This window comes from Homo sapiens, chromosome 8, assembly GCF_000001405.40.
Source record: "Homo sapiens chromosome 8, GRCh38.p14 Primary Assembly".
Taxonomy (NCBI): Eukaryota; Metazoa; Chordata; class Mammalia; order Primates; family Hominidae; genus Homo; species Homo sapiens.
The window spans coordinates 41,489,739-41,513,505 of NC_000008.11; the positions used below are offsets into that span (position 1 = coordinate 41,489,739).

Genomic DNA, 23,767 nt, shown 5'->3' on the forward strand with positions numbered 1-23,767 from the left:
AACTATATTAAATATATAAAAGACAGTGGTACTAACAGGTTGTATTAGCAGGAGACAAGGGTAAGGTGGGGTTTCTTTGGCTGCCTTGCAAAGAAATGCTGAGTCAAGTAAGGGCCAGTGGGCAACGAGGGCGGAACCACTTGTCCCCTTGGTCACCTGAGGGATGTGGATGGGAGCTGGGTGGAAATGGGGGGTGAGAGGAACGCCGCCCCCAAAGAAGAGTCGGGGCAGGGGCGCCCAACGCTGGGGCCCAGGCAGGTTCTTCGTCCTCACTTCCTGACCCTTTCTCAAGAGTCTAGGGACCAAATGGATCCATCCTTGGAGCCTGCTTTCTACTTCTGAACACAATGAGCAGTTTGTGTTTGAGGGTTTGGGGAGGGGGTGTTGTTTTTTCTTTATGTTTTGTTTTTTGTTTTGTGTATGAGTTGGGTGGCATAACCCACACGTAAGCTGCGACGTCCAATCAAGAACGAAAATGACCCCTCACAATCAGTGATCGGGAACCACCTGCCACAATCACTAGGGAAGTGACACAGCCGGGAAACTCCGCCCCTCACACCCCCGCGCGCTCGCGCCGGCCGCAGCCCCACAGCTCGCCCCGGCCGCAGCCCCACAGCTCGCCCCGCCTCTCTCCTTCCGGAAACAATCCCCGCGCGGGCGGAAGGCGGGGTCGGCCCTGGCCCCGCCCACATCATTTCCCTTCCTCGGCCCAGCCCCACAGCGCGCAGCTTCGGCAGGGTGGCTTTACGGCCGGAGGAGAGGGTGGGTCCCAGACCTGAGGTAGGAGGCCGAGCTGAGGGGCGGGGAAGAGGCTTTTTGCGGCAGGACGTAAGTGACGGCGAAGGCGGTGCGACAGCAGCTGGAGGGCAGAGGAGGCGGGTTTGTGTTTCCCGGGCCGAACCGGGTTGTGGGGGGCGCGGGGCCTGGGCCAGGCGGCAGCTAAGGCCCGCGGTGACAGCATGGGTGAAGGGGAGCGGGGCAGAGGAGGCCTTGGGCTGTTTTCGGCGGCGGGTGGGGGCGAGGGGCTGGCGGGTCAGAGTCCCGGGTCCAGGCCGGGGCTCTGACTCGCGGTTGGTGTTCCCCCGACCCCGCAGCGCGGGGTGTCCTGTCCTCGCCATGAGGCCGCAGCAGGCGCCGGTGTCCGGAAAGGTGTTCATTCAGCGAGACTACAGCAGTGGCACACGCTGCCAGTTCCAGACCAAGTTCCCTGCGGAGCTGGAGAACCGGGTACGCAACCTGGCTCCCCACGCCTGCTCTGGCGAGGGAGAGAGACTCACCGGGGACGGGAAGGGTGTGGGCGACAACCGGGCCTTTGAGGGTCCCGCAGTTCTGGGGAGGTCCAGGCACAGAAGGGGCCTTGGCCAAACGTGTAAGAAGAGAGCCACTAAGCAAGACAGGTGTTTGGAGCAGGAAGAATAATATAGGCCGATCGCCGGGGTTGACGACCTTATGGAACTTTGTTGCCCGGTGCCGGGAATCTGGATCCAGCAGTGTTCCCCTGCTGCACTCCCCCAAATCCCCACCCCGGGTTATTGTCGGCAGCGATGAGGAGCCAATTCCTGAGGCTCCAGGTCGTCTCAGTCACCAGGTTGTAAACTATATCCTCCTACCTCTCCGCGCAAGATAAATCATCATCATTCTCGTGACTGGTGTTTGCTGCCTCTGTGCTGGCCGCACTGTTTGGCTGAAAGGGTTTATTAGGTGCATGGCCAGGCGGTGCGTTCAGGCTTTCTTGGAACCTTAAAGACGTCGGGCGTTAGATAGGCCTGGACAGGAAAATGTCTCAGAACAAGGCCTTAAACTTGTCACATTCACTGGGAGCCACCTGTTTTGTCTTGCATATCAAAATGGTCATCAGGATATAGGTCCTTTGGGCAACATTGCAGGCAAAAATGGAAGAATGGGATTTGCTTCCCCTTCAGACCTAGCAAAACTTTAAAAAAAAAAAAAAAATCATTGTATCTTGTTGTAGAGGTAATGGAGTGTGTGCGTGCCTGCCTGTGTTTTTGTGTGCCCACATATGTACATTCAACCAAAGATTCTTTTGGTCTTGACCCATGTTATGTAGATTGTGTTTCCCGTTCAGGGATCAATTTCTGGTTAGCTGGAAGCAGGTTTTGTGGCTCTCTCCTCTGTGACAGGGAGGACGAGGGCCTGAGAGGTGATTAGGCATTCCTTGGGTGTGGGACTGAGAGATGCTGGTCATGGGATAAGTGGGTGTGGATGAGTCTGTGTAGAGAAATGTGTAGCAGTTATTTACAGTCAGTTTGCAGTGAGGTGGGTTGCACTGCCCGATTTCCATGGTTGGGAAATCAACAATGATCCATTATAGTTTCCTTCAGTTTGACATAACCATGGGCAGCTTCATGGCCCAAATATGTTTCTTGAATTGCAAATGGATCAAATATGCCTTTAAAAGATGGTGAGGTGACTTGTTTCTGAAATGCCATTTAAATGCTGCAGTATGTTGTCAACTATGTTATGAGTTAACTGAGCGTGACAATAGGTGGAACTATCTACAGTGGTTTGAAGAGGTAGAAATTCAGCAAGTGGCCAGTTGGGTAGAGCTACTGAATGTTGTTTTAAAATAATTTAACATCACAATTGATGTGTTTTACATGTTAAGATTGACATGGAATCTGGCTGGGCCCGGTGGCTCACGCCTGTAATCCCAGCACTCTGGGAGGCCGTGGCGGGTGCATCACTTGAGGTCGGGAATTCAAGACCAGCTTGGCCAACATGGTGAAACCCCATCTCTACTAAAAATACAAAAATTAGTCAGGCATGGTGGCGGGCACCTGTAATCCCCGCTACTCAGGAGGCTGAAGTAGAAGAATTTCTTGAACCTGGGAGGCGGAGGTTGCAGTGAGCCGAGATCATGCCATTGTACTCCAGCCTGGGCGACAGAGCAAGACTCTTGTCTCAAAAAATAAATCAAATAAAAAGATATACATGGAATCAATCAAATGTTTTATTTTTAAGCCTCTTACGGAAACTATGACATACAATTTATGTACTTCAAAATCAGAATATAAAGTATTCTTTTTTTACCACAATTATTTGGACATTAAAGATTCCTTTGCTTTAAGGTTTTAAAGCAACACTTACACCTCATATATTTGAGCTAAATGTGTATACACAGAATCAGACATTAGCCTTCCACTCTGTGTGTGGCAGAGCCTTTATTTTGTAATCTAAGTGCAAAAGCACAATGTAGTTACTGTGCTCCACTGATTCTTGTCAGGAAATTGATGTTTCTAAATTCTGGAGTCCTTTTACCTCTTTGACTCTGTATAGCCCAGAACTGCTTGTGGTACTGAGTACTATATGGAATGTTACATGGCACTCTTCAATTGTGCCTTTGAATTTCTTTTTTCTTTTTAAATGTTTGGGTTAAAACACTAGCTTATGCTTTAAACCACTAGAAAAGCTTTGATTGTCTGTGTATGTGTGTTGAGATTAAATTTAAATTACAGGTTTAAACTTTCCTTGCTTTGATGAAAAATTGAAAGGTTTCTGTTTCTCTACTACTTACCCTAGAAATTTTACTGATTGCTCTGCTATTGGAGCTGATTTTCCTTTTGTGAGAACATCACACTTGGCAACATAATAGAGAAAGTGACTAATATGCAAGTGTTTTGTATTATTTTAAAGCATTTTTTAAAAATACACACACATTTGTGCCCTTTAATTTGGGAGTAGGATAGGTTCTGTCTGTTAACAAGTTCATTTTCTCTGCTGCCTTTTAGAATGTAATACTTTGATGCTTAAGCGATTTGTTGCCAGAACAATTCCTTAAAGGAAACTTTATTCTCATTAGCCTTAAAATACAGATATCTTAGTTACCCTTGGTCTGGGTAGAAGAATGAGTGAACTGTAATTGAGGCATTTTTTCCCTTTAAAAATATGTCTCCCCATCTGGTTAGTAATTACCTTTGACCTGCCACCCTTGATACGTGATCACTGCATGCTTCACCATGCTTTCTACTGTGTAGTTCACAGTAATTCTGGGAAAATAAGCCTGATTTCTCTTTCCATTCTGATTTTTGATGTTTGTGGGTCCAAATTTTATTTGGCTGTGACTTCTCATATATCTAAATTTTGATAGAGCTCCTGTATCAGTGTCCAGGAACCTAAGGGAGAACACTGGCCACTGTTATTCATAGCCTAAAGGTAGTAAGATACAAATGCCAACATTTGTTCTCTTGAGCCCTTTCTTGTGAAGTTTGTCGTTTGCCTTTATTGATGCCTTCTGTGATTTTTACCCTTTATTTCCCTTTTTTAAAATAACCTTTCAAAAACTTGTTGGCATTTACTTTTCTTTAACCATTTATCCTTTCTTTTTCTTTTTTTATTAACCTTTTTTTGTTTGTTTGTTTAACTGACGTATGATTTACCTCTAACCTATAGGGCATTGTAATCTCGGAATAACGCATAAGAATTAAGTGTTTCTGGCTGGGCATGGTGGTTTGCACCCAAGTAATCCCAGCTGCTCTGGGGGTTGAGGTAGGAGTATCCCTTGGGGCCAGGAGTTCAAGACCAGTCTGGGCAACATAGCGATACTCTGTCACTAAACTTAAAAAATAATAATAATTAGGGTTTCCGGGATAAACAGTAATTCTGATATGAAAGAAATAAGATGTTTCTGGGTTGAATCCCATGGTTTTGAATTGTATTGTAAAGAAATATAAATAATTCAATGACTTATAACATAGGCACATCAAATGTGATTGGAATTATTTAGACTTTTGTAGACTTATCGGTGGACAAACTGAAGGCATTAACGTAGGCATAATTAGGTGAACGTAACAGCTTACCATTTTTGTTTGCTGAGCTCTCCTCAGTCTGTTTTCGTGAATGAGAACTCACAGTTTCCCAGATGACCAGCCTTGACACCACATCTACAAGGGGTAGCTCAGTGAAGAAACACTGCCCCTGCGTTTAAAGGCCGTCTTGACCCACCTAGCCTTTGTCCAAATCTCTAATATTCCTGGAAATTTAAAGTAACTCCTTTTGAAAAATGGGTAGAGCCAACACCACTTTAAAGTTTGCATTAAATTCATGCATGCCACTAGCCCATTGACTCCTCACATTTTCCACACAACGGACAAAACAATGACTACAACTGCTTCTAACTTAAAGAGTTGTCATAGCTTAAGGATGGTCATGAATTGTTTTACACTTTAAAAGATTATGTTCTTGAGGCCAGGTGCAGGTGGCTCTTTGGGAGGCCAGGGGGGTGGATCACATGAGGCTAGGAGCCTGAGACCAGCCTGGCAACATGGCAAAACCTCGTCTCTACTAAAAATACAAAAATTAGTAGGGAATGGTGGTGCACGCCTGTAATCCCAGCTACTCGGGAGGCTGAGACACGAGAATCACTTGATCCTGGGACCAGAGGTTACAGTGAGCCAAGATTGCGCCACTGCACTCCAGCCAGGGTGACAGAGTGAGACTCTGTCTCAAAAAAAAAAAAAAAAAAAAAAAAGATTACATTCTTGGGAATAGTGAATAGTAGGGCTCATACTGTATGTTGAGGGTTTTTTTTCTTTCTTTCTTTTTTTGAGACAGGGTCTCACTCTGTCACCCAGACTGGAGTGCAGTGGTGAGATCTCAGTTCACTGCAACCTCCACTTCCCAGGCTCCAGCAATCCTCCCACCTCAGCCTCCTGAGTAGCTAGGACTATAGGCATGCACCACCACGCCTGGCTAATTTTTGCATTTTTAGTAGAGACAGAGTTTCACCATGTTGCCCAGGCTGGTCTCAAACTCCTGAGCTCAAGTGATCCACCCAGCTCAACTTCCCAAGTGCTGGGATTACAGGAATGAGCCACCACGCCAGCCTGATTTTTTTTTTTCTGAGTCGGTTTCTATTATAAAGAAAGATTTAATAGGTTCACAGAGACAGGAAAGGAGAAAAAAAAAAAGCCAAACAAAAAAGTCTTTTAAATAAGGACTTCATAAAAGAGAGAATTCATACGTAAGTAGTTATTAATTTTAGAAATAAGGGAATCCTTATGCGAGAGAAGGCCTAGAGTGCAGACAGATAAGAATGGCAGTATTGGATGATTGCTCTCCTAATGGGCCTTGAAAGTCCTGGGATGAAGTAGCAAAATTTGAAATCTGTTATACAAAGTACTATTAGAAGACAGTAAAGTAATATTGGAAGAATAAAGTAAAAGCAGATGATTGAGTGAAACAATGGATGACAGTACAGGTTCTTTCTTATGTGAAATATGTGGAACCAGAAGTATTTCAGTTTTTGGGGTTTTTTTAGATTTTGAAATATTTGTTTATACTAATGAGATATCTTGGGAATGGGATCCAAGTCTAAACACGAAATTCATTATGTTTTATATCCACCTTATACATATAACCTGAAGGTAATTTTATACAATATTTTAAATGACTTTATGAGACAAAGTGTGTGTACACTGAACCATCTTATCACCCTTTGTGAGCACGCTTGCATGGGAGAATCTGGCTGTGCATGGAAAAGATACATGGCAGCTGATGGGGGCTGGAAGGGTCTTTTTCTCTTGGGGACACTGAATAAACTATGTGTTGTGCGCCTGCATTTTGACTGTGACCCCTCACATGAGGTCGGGTTTGGAATTTCCCACTTGTGGTATCATGTCAGTGCTCAAAAGTTTCAGATTTTGGAGCCTTTCTGACTTCAGAATTTAAGATCAGGGATGCTCAACCTGTGGTAGTATTAGTGTAAATTTAAGATAATGGTGTCACCAAATAGAAAGAGGTAATAAGAATGACTTAATGTGAAAAATTGTTTATTAGCTTGAGATTTTACCTTAACAAATTTTACCTTATTTAGTAACAAGATAATTGCTTCAAAAGAGATAGGCTGAGTAAACAGAATATAGAACCTACGCCTTTTGATCCTTCTGCTAAAATGCCATTTTTTTTTTTTTTGCCTAGTAAATTCCAGTCTTTAGTTACTCAATTTAAGATTACCTGCCCTTCCCAGATAAAGGGAATTTCTCCTTGCTTTTGTGTCCCCACTAGGCTTTATATTTGCCTATATGATAGTACCCTGTCAGTTTATTGCTTTTTTTTTTTTTTTTTTTTTGAGACGGAGTCTCGCTCTGTCACCCAGGCTGGAGTGCAGTGGCGCAGTCTCGGCTCACTGCAAGCTCCACCTCCCGGGTTCACGCCATTCTCCTGCCTCAGCCTCCCCAGTAGCTGGGGCTATAGGCACCCGCCACCATGCCCGGCTAATTTTTTTTGGTATTTTTAGTAGAGACGGGGTTTCACCATGTTAGCCAGGATGGTCTCCATCTCCTGACCTCGTGATCCGCCCACCTCAGCCTCCCAAAGTGCTGGGATTACAGGCATGAGCCACCGCACCTGGCCAGCTTACTGCATTTTTATGTTTACATTGCCTGTTCTGCTTGCATAATTAAACTCTTAAGGATTGAGACAGTGCTTTATCTTGAGATTTTTCATAGTATCTGATAGTAGGCGCTCAGTAAGTGTGAAACTAAATGAATGGAAAGAGGAATAGAGCCTAAAGTTACTTGAAATTTAGTAGAAAGAATAAAGAAGTACCTTATTGAGCCTTGAAGCTATCCAGTATTTATAAGAGGGATAAAATTAAACAAATTAAGCAGTTTTGGTAACTTAGGCCCAGATTTAGTCACCAAAAAAATTGTCAACTAAGAATGGTGAGAAAACAAGATAAATTAATGATAGCATGCATTAGTTGATTTTTTTTTTCCAAAACTTAATTTTTAAATATTTTCTTCTCTACAGATTGATAGGCAGCAGTTTGAAGAAACAGTTCGAACTCTAAATAACCTTTATGCAGAAGCAGAGAAGCTCGGCGGCCAGTCATATCTCGAAGGTTGTTTGGCTTGTTTAACAGCATATACCATCTTCCTATGCATGGAAACTCATTATGAGAAGGTAATGCTACATTTGTTTTCACAAAAATCTCTTAAAATCATGAAGAAGGCAAGTTTATTACACATTGATGCTTACATGGTGATAGTTGCCGTAAAATATTTAGGGGCATTTATCATTCAAATTGTGTTGTTCCTGTGTACAGAGGCACATAGTCCTGAGTCTTTCAAAACAGGTTGCAGTTGGTATGTCCACTTGCAGATGATGTGTCAATGTTCAGACTGGCCTACACTTAAGAAGAATGTAGAAAATCTATATGTTCTCTTCCTACTCAGCTTTCTGGGAATGTTTTTACTTTATTTCCCTAAATTTCACTCTCTTCTCCCACCTGAGTTCTTACTTTCTCTTTCCAGCTGCCTACTAGCTCCCGAATTGCTGATTTCTCAACTTAAGATGACCAGAAGTCAAACCTCCCACCTCCCCATTTTGTCAATAGCACCCCTGTCTTTTCAGTACCATCTTTGGGCATGAGGGATGAAGAAGAGGGAAAAATTAATCTGTTTTCAAAGACTGAAGTATCTTTCATTTTCCCAGTCATTAACTTTTTGTGATTTCCTCTGCCACTATCCTGGGTTATGCCCTTATTCTGTCTCTCCTAGACTATTGAAATAGTCTGACTTGTCTCATTTCTTCCCTCCTTTTGCTTTTCTAAACTATCTGCTGTTGTTTTTATAAAGCGCAGATTTACTTCCCCTACTACTTCTGCCAAGTCGGAGACCTTCCCTGGATTCCCATGTTTTACCACTGAGTAAAATTCAAGGCCCTGCTCAAGTTGACCTCAGCTTACCTTTCCAGCGCTACCTCCCATTCCTTCCTTCACTTTCTCCCTCAGCCAAACTCCATCCCTCACTGGTCAGCAAACATACCCACTGTGGTTCTCCTCCACCTGGAATGCTATCTTCCCAGGTTCAAATCCCACCAGTCCCTTAGGTCTCACTTCCATCTAACTTGTTCTCTGTTTTAGTCAGAATTCTTTCTCTTCTCTTGTGTCCCTACAACATTTTATTTGTATCTGTTTTCTGGCACTTGCCTCACTCTTCTTTGGAATGTAGCAGTTTATTTTCTTGTCTTATTTGCCTTTCAAGTATGTACTTTTCTTGAGGACAATGCCTTAACCATTTTGTATCCCTCTTCATGCCTAACACCATGCTTTGGGTATATCAGGCACTCATTGAATGTATGTTAAATAAATGACTGTAAATTAATCATGGTAAGCCCCTGGTATATCACTAAATTCTGACAGTGCTTAGAAAACGAAATGCTATAAGAATATATTATGACCCATCTGATAGAAATGTCTTACACTCCATGTAGTGGAGAGTGCATATAGTTGCAGCTAAAGTTTTTGGAGCTGTTGGCTGAAAATGCTGTTGTATTCTTCATTACCATCCTGTTCCATCTCATATAAACAGGTATATTTAAGTATAGTTATTTATATCCTTCCCCATGTTGAAACAGGAAAAGTTCTCTTGTCCCCCTCGCAGGGCGTGTGATGGGGTGTGGCTTGCTTCTTCAGTACCCTGCTGCTCAAACCTCTAGGAGAGCATACAGATGGGCAGGCTGTGGGGCTCCAACCCCACAGCAGTGTCTAGGGGTGAATGTTTTACAGCTCCTGAAGCCCCAGTGGGCATATGTTACAGGGTGCTCTTTTAGTTTAGCCATCCATAGGCGGCTTGTGTTAGCTCAATTAGACCCCTGCCTTATCACAAGGGCAGAGGGCTTTCTGTATCCCAGAGTTCTTGCCTTGGTGTACCAGAAGAATCGGATCACATGTGGGCTTGGAGAATGAGTGCAAGGTTTTGTTGAGTGGAAGTAGCTCTCAGCAGATGGGGGAGCCAGAAGGGAGATAGTTTTCCCCTGGAGTCAGGCCGCTCGATGACCGAACTCTTCTCCAACCACCCTGGCCAAACTCCACCTGATTCTGCCAATTGATGGCCTACCGGTGTGCCAGTGTGCTCCTACGCCAGTGTGTTCCTCTTGACATCCAGCCACCCTGTGTGTTCCTCCACTAATGTGCACCTCTTGACATCCAGCCACCTGTTTGTCTGCCTGCTGGGGTCTCAGGGCTTTTATAGGCACAGGATAGGGGTGTGGCAGGCCAGGGTGGAAATGCAGCATTTGGGCAGGAAAACAAAAATGTCTGTCTTCACTACTGGGCACAGGCCTGGAGGTGGAGCGCTAGCCAGGGACCATGCCCTTCTCTACCCAGCACTTCCCTGCCTGCTTCTGTATGATTTAAAGGGACCGTGCTCTTCCCTTCCATATCAATACACAGAGAAGCTTTCATTCCTGTTTAAACTTTCAAAATCAGAAGTTATCAAGGCTCTATGTCAGCTTTCAGTCTGTTTCAGTGTATCTCCTCTCTAATAATACGTTCAGTGAGTGAAGGCTCAGGGGATTTGTTTGCTCAGTAACTATTGAAAGCCTACTATGTGCTAAGCAAAGTGCTGGGACATAACGGAACAGGGCGAACATGGTTGCTGACCTTGTGGAGTTTATAATTAAGTGGTGAAAGCTGATAATAACAAGGAAACAAAGCCAGCAAAATTACACATTATGATAAGTGCCTTGAAGGAAACAAACTGGCCTATGCTTGAAAATAATAAGCGGGACCTAATCTAGGGTGTGTGGTCAGAAGAGGCCTCTGAGGTGGTGACATTTAAGCTGTTGCATGAAGGATGAAAAGCCTGGGGCATTAAGGCAGAAAGATGAACATACACAAAGGCCCAGAGAGCTTGATGGACCTTGGGAACTGAGAGAAGGTGATGCACAGGAGAGGAGGGGCAGAGAATGATGGGAGGTGGATTTGGAGAGGTAAGCAGGAGCTGTAACATGGAGTGCCTAGTCCATGGAATGAAGTGTAGATTTTATTTTTAGTGCAAGTGGGAAGCTACTCAAAGGATTTAATCAAGAGAGTGATGTGATGAGATTTTCATTTTATTTATTTTTGTAATAGAGACAGGGTCTCACTGTGTTGTCCACGCTGGTCTCGAACTCCTGGGCTCAAGCGATCCTCTCACCTCAGCCTCTCAGAGTATTGGGATTAAAGGCCTGAGCCGCTGCGCCCAGCAAGATTTTCATTTTAAAGAGATCTCTTTGCTTTGTGGAAAAAAGGCATAAGAATAGAAGTAGGGAAACTAGTCAGGAAGCTCCACAGAAGTCCAGGCAAGAGTGAGATAGCCTGGATTAGGAAGGGAGCAGGGGAGGTGCAAAGAGGTGACCAGCTCCAAGGGATATGTTGATAGTTGGTATGAATGTAGGAGGGGAGGGTAAAGCTGAATTCACATAGGTAGAAACTTTATCATCTGGAATGACTATTTACAGAAGTCCATAATATTGCTAATTTAAGGTAGAAGCACATCTCTTGAGTATTTTATTCATGCTTAGTGAAGTATTAAAAGGCTTGAGTTGTTATTACATTTGTTGATAAAATTTTAATTGTATTTGTCAAAGTGTATTTGCTGAAATAGAAGTACTGATGTCATTTGTAAAAAGAAATTGGTAATTGGGTGCTAGTCAGTTTATACTAATTATGAGATCTTGGACAAATTAATCTCTCTGAATTCTCTCAACTATAAAATGTATATTAGAATTAATAATTTTCCTTACATGTGGTTAGTGCTTAATAAACAGTGTTTTCTTGAGGTCGATTTTTTTTTTTTTTAATTGAGACAGAGTCTTGCTCTGTCACCCGGGCTGGAATGCAGTGGTGCGATCCCGGCTCACTGCAACCTCCACCTCCTGGGTTCAAGTGATTCTTGTGCCAGTAGAGATGAAGTTTCACCATATTGACCAGGCTGGTCTCAAACTCCTGGCCTCAAGTAATCCACCTGCATTGGCCTCCCAAAGTTCTAGGATTACAGGTGTGAGTCACTGCACCCAGCACTCAGCCTTTATTACTTACTTTTTTAAAAAAAACTAGAGATGGGGTCTCACTATGTTGGCTAGGCTGGTCTTGCACTCCTGGCCTCAAGCGATCCTCCCGTCTCGGCCTCCCAAAGTGCTAGGGCTACAGGCATGAGCCACTGTGCCCAGCCAAGATAGATTTTAAATGAAGTTACCTATGTAAGTTTTAATCAGATATTTGTGAACTCACATATGATTTTTTATTTTCAAGTATAAGTAATCTTTTAGCCAGCCGCTAGTTTATTTGGGTGCTGAAAACACTTAGCAGCTCTCAATTAAAAACCTTCCAATTATTAAATCTTGGAAGATGGTCCTAAATACCAGAAATACAATGGAAATTGGTTGATCCCAGTATATGTTTTAGCTTGGATTTGTAGACATTGTGTAAGGTCCTATTTTATAGGTCTAAGCAAGGCCCCTTTCTTTTTATAGAGCAAATGTTACAAAGCAAATAAAGACCAAATAAAATTAATCCAGAAACCAAATTTAAGGCATGGCCACATTTTAAAAATAGGTGATATTTTGTAGAAACTGAACATGGATAATTAGATTGTGCAGAATTAATAACTGGAATGATGATAGTTAAGATATGATATACCTATACTTTTAATAGAAGTGTGCATTTGTGTTTTGATAAAATGATTAAAATGTAAGCACAGCTGCCCTCTCCCTTTCCCAGTTTGTCTCTGAGGAATTTTTGTGCTATTATTTTCTACTTACAAAAGGATGAGGTTGAGTCATTTAGTCTCTATTGTTTTAAACACCGAAATTCCTAGTCTACAAACAGTAAGCCAAATATAACAGTGCTTATACTTTGTCATGTGTGTTAAATTTTTTGAAATTGTAAATAGGCCTTTTAAAACTCACTAGAACAATCATGCATTTTTCCCTATAATGTGCTATTTATTGATTTAAAATGAAGATAAAGACTTCAGTGTTATTTCTCTATTGTTGCTACCCATGATAATTAGGGGACAAATGGGCTCGTGGAAGGTTCCCCTTTCAGTATCTCTCTGCCTTGTTCATGAACTAGAAAACATCCCTTCTGCCTATGTGCTGTAATCTCTAGAAGGAACACAGGAGAGAACTTGGGTATGTTCTGAAAACAGTAAGATGTGGTGTTACTTAGCCTCAATCAGGCCATTTTTCTTGAAGGTCTGGAAGGCTTTCTCCAGTTGAATATCCTCAGGGAGGACAGTAGTTTTTCCAAGGTTTGATTGTGTTTCACTTTGTAAATATTATACAAATTGAAGTTTTGTTGAGGATTTGAAAGTAGCAGATAACTTTGTTAAATATTATGGTTTGCTTTGACATTGATTTACCAAAAATAATAAAGTGTGAATAAAATGTCAACATATGATTTCTTGGGGGTGAGAATGGCGCTTTGTCCTTTCTGAGATTGTGGTATGAGTTTACACATATTAATGCTCTTCTGCTATTAAAGAGACTTTAAGAGTTTTATCGTTTGTTTTAATTTTTATTTTATTTTTATTTTGAGACTAAGTTTTAAAGCATCTTGTTAAGGACAGTGTTGCCTTCACCACAATAGTATAAGAATATTTAGAGCTTATACAAAAAGGAAAACTAATTGTTTTCTTTCTGAACTGATACCCAAGTGCATATCAATGTTACTAAAGTTTATAAAAAAAAAAAAAGTGTCTGTTCATGTCCTTCGCCCACTTTTTGATGGGGTTGTTTGTTTTTTTCTTGTAAATTTGTTTGAGTTCATTGTAGATTCTGGATATTAGCCCTTTGTCAGATGAGTAGGTTGCGAAAATTTTCTCCCATGTTGTAGGTTGCCTGTTCACTCTGATGGTAGTTTCTTTTGCTGTGCAGAAGCTCTTTAGTTTAATTAGATCCCATTTGTCAATTTTGGCTTTTGTTGCCATTGCTTTTGGTGTTTTGGACATGAAGTCCTTGCCCACGCCTATGTCCTGAATGGTAATGCCTAGGTTTTCTTCTAGGGTTTTTATGGTTTTAGGTTTAACGTTTAAATCTTTAATCCATCTTGAATTGATTTTTGTATAAGGTGTAAGGAAGGGATCCAGTTTCAGCTTTCTACATATGGCTAGCCAGTTTTCCCAGCACCATTTATTAAATAGGGAATCCTTTCCCCATTGCTTGTTTTTCTCAGGTTTGTCAAAGATCAGATAGTTGTAGATATGCGGCATTATTTCTGAGGGCTCTGTTCTGTTCCATTGATCTATATCTCTGTTTTGGTACCAGTACCATGCTGTTTTGGTTACTGTAGCCTTGTAGTATAGTTTGAAGTCAGGTAGTGTGATGCCTCCAGCTTTGTTCTTTTGGCTTAGGATTGACTTGGCATATTCTCACTCATAGGTGGGAATTGAACAATGAGATCACATGGACACAGGAAGGGGAATATCACACTCTGGGGACTGTGGTGGGGTCGGGGGAGCGGGGAGGGATAGCATTGGGAGATATACCTAATGCTAGATGACACATTAGTGGGTGCAGCGCACCAGCATGGCACATGTATACATATGTAACTAACCTGCACAATGTGCACATGTACCCTAAAACTTAGAGTATAATAAAAAAAAAAAAAAAACAAAACAAAACAAAAAAAAAACTTGCCCAGCAAAGTTATGCTTGAACCAGATAAAAGAATGATGTTGCCGTTTCTTTGCTCGTAACCTGTACTCGGAGAAAGGAGACGGAAAGCTGTTCTGAAGGAATCCTTTCTTTGAAACCAGCCATGCAGGCATTTTTCTGAGTGTCTTCCCTAGTATTACTGGACTGGAGTGAAGGGAGACTGAGTCTCCAGTTTCCAATTCTGCAGGTGAACTGAGAAGGAAATTAGAAGATTGAGAGGCCTTAGTTGGGCACCTTTATGGGCTACTTCCTTCTATTCATTATTTTAGGATGATTGACAAACTCTGATGTGAAGATAGTGCCTAAGGGGGTTTTTTTGCTCATAAAGACCAAGCACAGCTAAAATTCTTTGAATGCTGAAAATAGGAGAATGATACATGCATTGCTTCAGGTAATTAGATGAAAAAAACAAATCTTTTATTTAGAAATAATACTCCTAATTTATTACGTAAGAACCATGCAGATTGCTCTTTGAATAATCTTACGCTCTTTTGAAGAAGCATAAAACATGAGATTTTTTTATCCCCAAAAAATATTTGAATAAAGTGTTTAAATTACTTTTCTTCAATTAGAAAATTCTTTATATGAAACAGGTAGAGTTTTAAATTCTAAATCAGTTTATACCAAAGCATCTAAATTGTGACATCCTAATTTGTTAAGTTTGGTCTGTATGTTATATAAGCCACACTTAAATCATTGCTTAATTTCCAACTTTATTTCCATACACTTCTTTTTTCCCTTTAAGTTGTGATCACATTTGTGACTTTATCATTTGCTAATAGTGTGAATTTAAGGAAATATATAGTAATTTAAAGAACTGGATCAAAGCCTCTTTTGAACATTAGAGCCAGAAAAAAGTTATGATGACTTCGAGCCTGAAATAAAACATGTAACTCTTTGATTTGGGATGTAGCTATTAAGATTTATTTTCTTCTAGCTTATCTGTCTCAGAATTGCCTTTATTAAAGCTGGAGATTTGGCAATTTCCAGAAGTTCCTTTGTATCCTATCTGGTTTTTGTCTACATTTGCTTTGACTTTTACAAGCTTAATACTAAACTTATAAATTGAGGTTCCTGTCTAGGAAATGAGCAAACTGCAGAATAGCACTACATGCAGTCATGGAAATGACATAAGACACTTGTATTTATCAGAAACTCCCTGGCAGCTAATGCCCACATGCTCTACAAAGGAAATAAACTTCTTAGTTTTGAAATAATGGGGCTACCTTTTGTTATAAGCCCACCTTATATCATTACTTTAAATTGATGAACATGTACAAAGGAGAGAAGCAGTCCTTTAAGTTTTGTAAAAGGCAAGGCCAAGAACTGTCCTTGATTTTAGAAGATGTCACATTAACAGCACTTTATGAATAGGAAAAGAGAAGCTTGAGCAGCCATTGTGTATATAACCATCTGTGTGTTTCTCCATATGCAGGATTGAGGTGACTGAGAAGTAGGGAGGAGTGGGTTGGTTCTCATCGTGCCATTGTATGCTTTTGCATTTATTTACATTGTGTCGAAGATATTTTTGACTGGAAGAGTCCCTCACACTTGGCTGTATGTCATATGCAACTCATGTGAGCCAAGTAATCACAGCTGTATTCCACCATATGAATATCCATGTGACTTGCCTTGAAAACGAATTCCCACTGCCTATTTTGAGATCTCACTAACACTTAAAGGGAAATCTGATGAAGTTTGTAAGAAGCTGTGGTGTTTCTTTCTGTCAGGTTCTGAAGAAAGTCTCCAAATACATTCAAGAGCAGAATGAGAAGATCTATGCTCCACAAGGCCTCCTCCTGACAGACCCTATTGAGCGAGGACTGCGAGTTGTATCTTTTTAGTTCGGATCAGAAAGTCTAAATATTTATAACAAGAAAATGTTGATATTGTTTGGCATTGGCTAGAGAGAATTTAACTCTCATCCTGTATTTGCCCTAGGTAGTTTCTGTGTGAATTGCATACCTACTGTAAACCCCGTGTCTCCAACATTTTTTTTTAAAGCATGTCCCTCCTTCCATTGCATGGTGCAGGTCTCTGTGGTTTGTTTACTATTCTTGTCACCATCTTTCCTGGTGGTTCTGAGGGCATCTTGTAGTAATAATGGGGGTGGTTTGAGTAATGCATTTCAGCTGCAGAAACCCTGAACCTGAAGCCCCTTTGAAATGGATAAACTCATAATGTGTGGTGAGACTTGTCATCCAAATGAATTGCAGTTTCATGGGTTTATCTGACTAGTTGAAATCAGTTACAGCTGCCAGATGTGTAATTTCATTACCTTTGACATACTGTGCATATTTTTAGAGGCAGTAAGCTTTGAAAATCACTAAGTGAATTTGGTAAATAAAATTGCAAAAAACTAATTTAGCTTGATAACTGGAGTAATGGGTAAATAAATTTTTTTAAAAACCTAGGTCACATAATCCCAGGCCTTCCAGCTGATAATAATTTCAGCAGTTTTGTTATACTCTGCAACAATAGTTCTTAAACTTTCAGGGGTCATGAACCCTTTCCCAAGAAAAAAGTTTTCATATAATTTCAGGGTATTTTTAAATCCCTGAATTCATTACCTCCATGGATTCTCAGTTAAGAACTCCCTAGTTCAACAAATAAAGCATCGTTTTCAGAATTTATTTGTTTTGTTTTCAAAACATAAGTTATCAGTGTTTGGGAAGGAACTACATGTGGACTACTATAATTACATTTCTTAAAATTTTCAGCAAATTGGAGAAAGCAAACTTAAGTAGGAAAAATGTTTAATAATTGAAAAATAAAGCAAACTGAAAGCAAAGTCTGCAGATCACACCCTCCACCTTGCCAAGTCCCCCTTTGTGTGTTGTGTCCTGTAGTGTGTTTTCTTAACAGCCATGCTGTTTAGATTGAAATTACCATTTATGAAGACAGAGGCATGAGCAGTGGAAGATAAACCGAAGAATTAAAGGTAAATATGAAATGATATGGCTTGTATGCAGCTTTTGCAAGTTTAGAGGATGCATGAATATTCTTCCCCGCATGGTAAATAAATCATTAAATCACGCAGTTAAATAACAGTATATTTGCTGTGTTAGCTTAAGCTAGTCACTGTATTAGCTTGATATTTAAAATGTGTATTCGGCCCAAGTTCTATTTGGTGATAGAGAATTTAATTCTGATTTTTTTTCCTGCTGTATTGTGTTCAGACTGGTTTTGTTGTTACTTTGGTGGGGGAATGGGGGATGGCAGTTACTTGGCTTGTTTTAATATTTCAAAACTATCCTAGACATATAAATACTTGGGTTTTGCATATAAGAATGAGTTCAGAGATGTCTACCTATATGACAAATGGCTTTAATAAGCAAAGGAACATTTCAGAGGGGAGTGGGGAGATTCTGAATATTTCATTTATTATGTTTAAGTGGCTTCAGACCCCTGTGGAAGAAACCTTACCTACTGAGTAGAAACATAAATTTCATTCCTTTGTTTAAAGTATTAATGTCCTTAAATATCCAGATGCTGCCCTTTAATGAGTAAGAAACAAATTAATACTACTAAGAATCTCTAGGCAGAGTCACGTTGAAGCCCTAAGTACTTTAGCATAGCCTTCTAAGTGACAGGAAGTAGCACTTCACTATTTCTGCCAATTTTAGTTACGTGGTCTTCCTACAGAAAGTGTTCTGCTGCTGCGCTTTTCTAGTTGACTGTGCTTATAGGTATCTGTCACTAATTAATAGACAGCACAGACACAGAATGTACCAAAGCAGACACATGTCTTCCTAGGGCAACATCAATAACAGCTACCATTTTGAGGGCACGTACTATGTGCCTGGTATTGTACAAATGGTACTTCTGAATCTCACAAGAACCCTACAAAGTATTTCCCCATTTTATAGATGAGCAAACTTGGATACAAATAGATTAAATGATGTTCTCACAGTCACACAGTTAACGAGTATTGGGATATGAACCCAAGTCTGATTGATCATAAAACCCCTGTCTTTTACACCGTACTTCCTCTCAGTACTTGCAGCAGCAGGAACATGGAGAAAGGGAAGAGTTCATCAGATAATTCTAGAGGTTTATCCCCTTCTCTTCTTTTTCAATACTTTAAAAAAGAATACATTTTGTCTGCTCCTGTATGATTTATTCAATCCTGTAAGCCATGCAACATTCCAGAGCTGCCTTCTTTAGCACTAGTGAATGTGTCACCTGAATTCCTGAAAGCCAAAGATCTAAATCATGATATCTATCCTCTGCCATATGTTGTATTTCCTTAAAAAGGCTTTGTTTTGGAATACTTAGTGTTACTTGTCCATACGCTTTCTCATGTACAATTTTCAAACTGATACTTCTCAAACAACCAGCAACCTTCTGTGTGGCTTTTGTTCCATGCCATGGTTTGTATATCAGTTGCAGCTGCGATGACTTGGCACAGCCCATTTGTCATGACTCATTTTGCAGCTATTGTGTAATCATGTGTTTTTCTGATGTGTGAGGTTTGAGCAATTACACACCAGAGGCTAATCTATCAATATTCAAATAACTAGAATTTTGAAATGGGAAAGATTTACATTAATAACTTCTGGATACCCTCTTTCATGAATGCAGATATTTTTGTTCAACACAATTTCGTTTTGGGATTTGGGTGTTCCCAAGGTCCAGGATGCAATGTGAGCTGAGATCTTAGAGAAGGGGAGGAAACTCTAAGCATAATTTATTCAATTCTTCCATTTTTCTTCAGTCTGCAAGGTGTCTGCAATTTGAAGCAATATGTGGGAATTAGTGACTTAACAAAAGACTACACAAACATGAGGATGGCCTTTATTTTTAAAAGGAGCTTTAAACAAAAATGCCTTTCTTTAAGCTTAATTTTTATAATATCTTGCATATATCTTTATTATCACATTGTTATTGTTACATGCACTGGTGTTTTCTCTCTGGATTAAGATTGCCATCTTTATATAAAATGGAATACATGATTATTCCATCACAACTAGTGATAATAAAAACAGCTAATGTTTGTTGGCACATCTGTGCCAGCACTATTCTAAATGCTTAATTTTAATCATCACAACAACCCTATGAGGTAGATATTGTTATCCCTGTTTTTCAGATGAGGAAGCCGAGGCAGAGAGAACTTAAGTTGCTGGCCCAAGGACAAACAGCTAGTAGACAGCAGTCAAGGCAGCGTGGCTCCATGGTGATGTGCTTGGTCAGAGATCTGAATATATAGGACTTAGATTTGTAGACTATTGAGCTGTAGACTCATTTAGACAAATGGTACCAAGATATTTTAGTAGATAAAATTCTAGGTTAGTAGAACATAGACCACATGTTATAAGCTGATATCAGTTGATGGAAGAAAAATGGTTTTACAAGTTATTTTCAGGATCTCTATCAAACCTTTACTTCTCCCTCTAATTACAGATCCCACTTCCAGCCGGGCCCCTCATGTATCCACTGGCCGACCGCAGAGTGTCCCTACCTCCTCTCCAGAGCATCATTCCTTTCTATCTGCTGCCAGAGCCACGGTGCCATTTACTCCAAGGACTCACTTTCTAAAATTCCACACCTGGAGTGACCTCTAGTCGCTCAGCATCCACTTTGTGTCTCCAAATTGTGTAGGACTCTGTAATCTTTTGATTAGTTTCTGAGAAAACACAATGAAGCACTTCACTTTTTTTTATTCAAAGCCATTTAATAAAACACAGTTGGTCAGCCCAGTGCAAAGCTTGTTATCTGCCACCAGTACATACCATTGGTTCTCTTCATTCCTTGGGCCAGCTTCTCAGGTGGCTTTAGACCTCAACAAGCCGTATCTTCACCAGTGTTCTATCTTGTTCCCCTAAATTAATAAAATGTTTTTCTCCAGGATTTTGGTGAGGGTTGGCTGTGGCTGTCGTTTTGCACCTCCCAGATTTCAAAGAATTACTGGTTTTACCATGACTCAAATCTTAAGATCTGTTTCTACTATTCAGTTCCTCAAACTGAAGCTTATTGAAAAAAAAATGTATAATGTTATTTGTTTTATTATAGCAATTATGCCTAATTAAAGCAGTATTTAATGCAATTTCCAGTTATTTCTTTGGAGAATTTTATGTCATTGTTCCATTACCTTGAATGTTGGAAAGATATGATACGTGCTGCTTGTTCATCACAAAAATCAGTAAGCACAATAAAGTGGATGCCAAACCATCAGACACATAAATGTTCCCGCTGTGTCCCTGGATATGGAATAAGCAGGTATAAAAAATATTTTAATTATAGTTTTGTTATAAATATAACTTATGAGAAAAAAATTTGATAGGAATAATACTGTATATTACTAATTTTTAACTATCCCTAAGGCAAACCTTATGACCCACAGAATTTTCTCATATACAGTATTCAGTGCACAGAAATCTTATGATTGGCTCAAGTACAGTAAGTTACTTCTCAGTAAAACTCTCAAGTCTGAGTCCATATTTGTAGCTCTGCTTTTGGCTGTACGTTCCTAGGATCGGGGCTGCTTATGCCTTTCGTTTATCCTTGGGGTTTGAGAGCGCTGTATTTGGGAGAGAGTTTAAAAATACATTAGGAGAGAGAAACCATTAAAAGTTTCACTGTCAGATATATTGTAGGTGCTAATACTGGATTTCGTCTCAGATTTAATTTCTTTTATGGGTCTGTTAGTCATTCAACAAATCCCATAAGTATGTGTTAATATTTTAATTGTGTAAAACTCATTTGTTACTTTACAGCCTGTAATAGTGTGTCTGCATTTTCAACCTGTTGCAATAACTTTGCTGAAATATTAACACATTAATAAAACTTTTCTTAAACAAGTTGTCTCTGTGTCATATTTGGTGGGATTTGGTAGTAAATGATGGTAAAGTGGTAAATGATAGGACACTAAATTTGTCAGATAATACTAGAATTGTAGTAGTGTACCGTACAATGTAGCTTAGTGTTTTAAAATAAACATCTTACATTTCTATGTCACACCTCTCAATTTCTTACCTGCTTTATCTTACAACAGCAGGTATATTATAAGTAAAAATTAAGGAGTAGTCGTTGACAAAGCCTGCTCTCTTCCCCGGACAGCATGAGCTTCACCACTCCCTCCACCTTCTCCACCAACTACCAGTCCCTGGGCTCTGTCCAGCCGCCCAGCTATGGCACCTGGCCGGTCAGCAGCGCAGCCAGCATCTATGCAGGCACTGGGGGGCTTGGGATCCCAGATCTCCATGTCCTGTTCTACCAGTTTCTGGGGCGGCTTGGGGTCTGGGGGCCTGGCCACAGAGATGGCTGGGGGTCTGGCAGAAATGGGGGGCATCCAGAATGAGAAGGAGACCATGCAAAGCCTGAACGACCACCTGGACTACCTGGACAGAGTGAGGAACCTGGAGACCGAGAACTGGAGGCTGGAGAGCAAAATCCAGGAGTATCTGGAGAAGAGACCCCATGTCAGAGACTGGGGCCATTACTTCAAGACCATCAAGGAACTGAGGGCTCAGATCTTCGCAAATACTGTGGACAATGTCCACATCATTCTGCAGATCGACAATGCCCGTCTTGCTGCTGATGACTTCAGAGTCAAGTATGAGACAAGAGCTGGCCATGCGCCAGTCTGTGGAGAGCAACATCCATGGGCTCTGCAAGGTCATTGATGACACCAATGTCACTCTGCTGCAGCTGGAGACAGAGATGGGCGCTCTCAAGGAGGAGCTGCTCCTCATGAAGAAGAACCATGAAGAGGAAGTAAAAGGCTTGCAAGTCCAGATTGCCAACTCTGGGTTGGCCGTGGAGGTAGATGCCCCCAAATCTCAAGTCCTCGCCAAGGTCATGGCAGACATCAGGGCCCAATAGGATGAGCTGTCTCAGAAGAACTCAGAGAAGCTAGGCAAGTACTGGTCTCAGCAGACTGAGGAGAGCACCACAGTGGTCACCACACACTCTGCCAAGGTCAGAGCTGCTGAGATGACACGGAGCTGAGACGTACAGTCCAGTGCTTGGAGATTGACCTGGACTCAATGAGAAATCTGAAGACCAGCTTGTAGAACAGCCTGAGGGAGGTGGAGGCCCGCTACGCCCTGCAGATGGAGCAGCTCAACAGAATCCTGCTGTACTTGGAGTCAAAGCTGGCACAGAACTGGGCAGAGGGCCAGCGCAAGGTCCAGGAGTACAAGGACTTGCTGAACATCAGGGTCAAGCTGGAGGCTGAGATCGCCACCTACCGCCGCCTGCTGGAAGACAGCGAGGGCCTCAATCTTGGTGATGCCCTGGACAGCAGCAACTCCATGCAAACCATCCAAAAGACCACCACCCGCCAGATAGTGGATAGCAAAGTGGTGTCTGAGATCAGTGACACCAAAGTTCTGAGACATTAAGCCAGCAGAAGCAGGGTACCCTGTGGGGAGTAAGAGGCCAATAAAAAGTTCAGAGGTCAAAAAAACATCAAGGAATAGTCCATGGTAATTAAAAAATGTATATTTTTTTTGAGATGGAGTTTTGCTTTTTGCCCAGGCTGGAGTGCAATGGCACCATCTCGGCTCACTGCAAACTCCGCCTCCCGGATTCAAGTGATTCTCCTTCCTCAGCCTCCCGAGTAGCTGAGATTACAGGCGCCCGCCACCATGCCCAGCTAATTTTTTTATTTTTAGTAGAGACAGGGTTTCACCATGTGGGCCAGGCTGGTCTCAAACTCCTGACCTCAGGTGATCTGCCTGCCTCAGCCTCCCAAAGTGCTGGGATTACAGGTGTGAGCCACCACACCCAGCCTAAAAAACATATTTAAAGAAATAAGACATTGGCATGTTTCATTAGGAAAAAGGCATCACAGTTATTGTTACTATCTTGGATCACCTGATGACTCAGTGTAGTTTTATTATTTTTTTTTCTGGGTACATAGGTGTCTATATTCACGGTGTACATGAGATGTTTTGATACAGGCATGCAATGCGTAATAATTACAGTATGTCAAATGGGCTACTCATCCCCCTCAAGCACTGTGTTACAAACAATCCAAATACAGATTCCATTTTTTGTTTTTGTTTTTGAGATGGAGTTTCGCTCTTGTCACCCAGGCTGGAGTGCAGTGGTGCAATTTTTAGTAGAGACAGGGTTTCGCCATATTGGCCAGGCTGGTCTAGAACTCCTGAACTCAGGTGATCCAACAGCCTCAGCCTCACAAAGTGCTGGGATTACAGGCGTGAGCCACCGCACCCGACCCAGACTCCATTTCTTTTAAATAAGGTAGATTTGTAGAAAATTAACAACTTAGAAGTTACAGTCCATAGTCCAACTTTCTTTTGTAAGCTTATTTTCCTATATAAAATGTTCAATGTCTCTCCTTATCCAGTGAAACTCA

At 41.2% G+C, this 23,767-nt stretch overlaps 1 protein-coding gene and 1 pseudogene across 8 annotated transcripts, besides 4 other annotated features; both read left to right on the forward strand.

Annotated features, from left to right (window-relative positions):
• Window positions 475–734: a silencer, noted in NCBI's record as "silent region_19142". NCBI's record gives its function as "represses an Ori minimal core promoter by ATAC-STARR-seq in GM12878 lymphoblastoid cells {active_cell/tissue: GM12878}" and the evidence as "EXISTENCE:reporter gene assay evidence [ECO:0000049][PMID:35858748]".
• GOLGA7 (golgin A7) lies at window positions 658–21,242 on the forward strand. Of its 8 annotated transcripts, none has more exons than NM_001362979.1 (6): window positions 658–828; window positions 1,095–1,227; window positions 7,771–7,923; window positions 16,173–16,274; window positions 17,321–17,383; window positions 19,846–21,242. In NM_001362979.1, exons 2-5 carry the CDS (start codon window positions 1,117–1,119, stop codon window positions 17,366–17,368), a joined length of 414 nt encoding a protein of 137 aa, NP_001349908.1. In that variant the 5' UTR covers window positions 658–828; window positions 1,095–1,116; the 3' UTR covers window positions 17,369–17,383; window positions 19,846–21,242. The 8 variants fall into 8 exon arrangements, 5 of the variants coding, with proteins under 5 accessions (NP_001349908.1, NP_001349909.1, NP_001167595.1 ...); NR_156425.2 differs by lacking the exon at window positions 658–828 and adding an exon at window positions 844–951 and having other exon boundaries at window positions 1,132–1,227; NR_156426.2 differs by lacking the exon at window positions 658–828 and adding an exon at window positions 844–879 and having other exon boundaries at window positions 1,132–1,227.
• Window positions 785–914: an enhancer, noted in NCBI's record as "active region_27282". NCBI's record gives its function as "activates an Ori minimal core promoter by ATAC-STARR-seq in GM12878 lymphoblastoid cells {active_cell/tissue: GM12878}" and the evidence as "EXISTENCE:reporter gene assay evidence [ECO:0000049][PMID:35858748]".
• Window positions 1,205–1,314: an enhancer, noted in NCBI's record as "active region_27283". NCBI's record gives its function as "activates an Ori minimal core promoter by ATAC-STARR-seq in GM12878 lymphoblastoid cells {active_cell/tissue: GM12878}" and the evidence as "EXISTENCE:reporter gene assay evidence [ECO:0000049][PMID:35858748]".
• Window positions 1,365–1,474: an enhancer, noted in NCBI's record as "active region_27284". NCBI's record gives its function as "activates an Ori minimal core promoter by ATAC-STARR-seq in GM12878 lymphoblastoid cells {active_cell/tissue: GM12878}" and the evidence as "EXISTENCE:reporter gene assay evidence [ECO:0000049][PMID:35858748]".
• On the forward strand, window positions 21,485–22,846 carry KRT18P37 (keratin 18 pseudogene 37; annotated as a pseudogene).

Excerpts from the sequence above, each read along its gene's own strand:
- GOLGA7 (NM_001362979.1), top strand. The coding sequence starts at position 1,117 with ATGAGGCCGCAGCAGGCGCCGGTGTCCGGAAAGGTGTTCATTCAGCGA. Across the intron at positions 1,228-7,770 it reads CTGCGGAGCTGGAGAACCGG|ATTGATAGGCAGCAGTTTGA; the intron begins GTACGCAACCTG and ends TCTTCTCTACAG. Across the intron at positions 7,924-16,172 it reads TGGAAACTCATTATGAGAAG|GTTCTGAAGAAAGTCTCCAA; the intron begins GTAATGCTACAT and ends TCTTTCTGTCAG.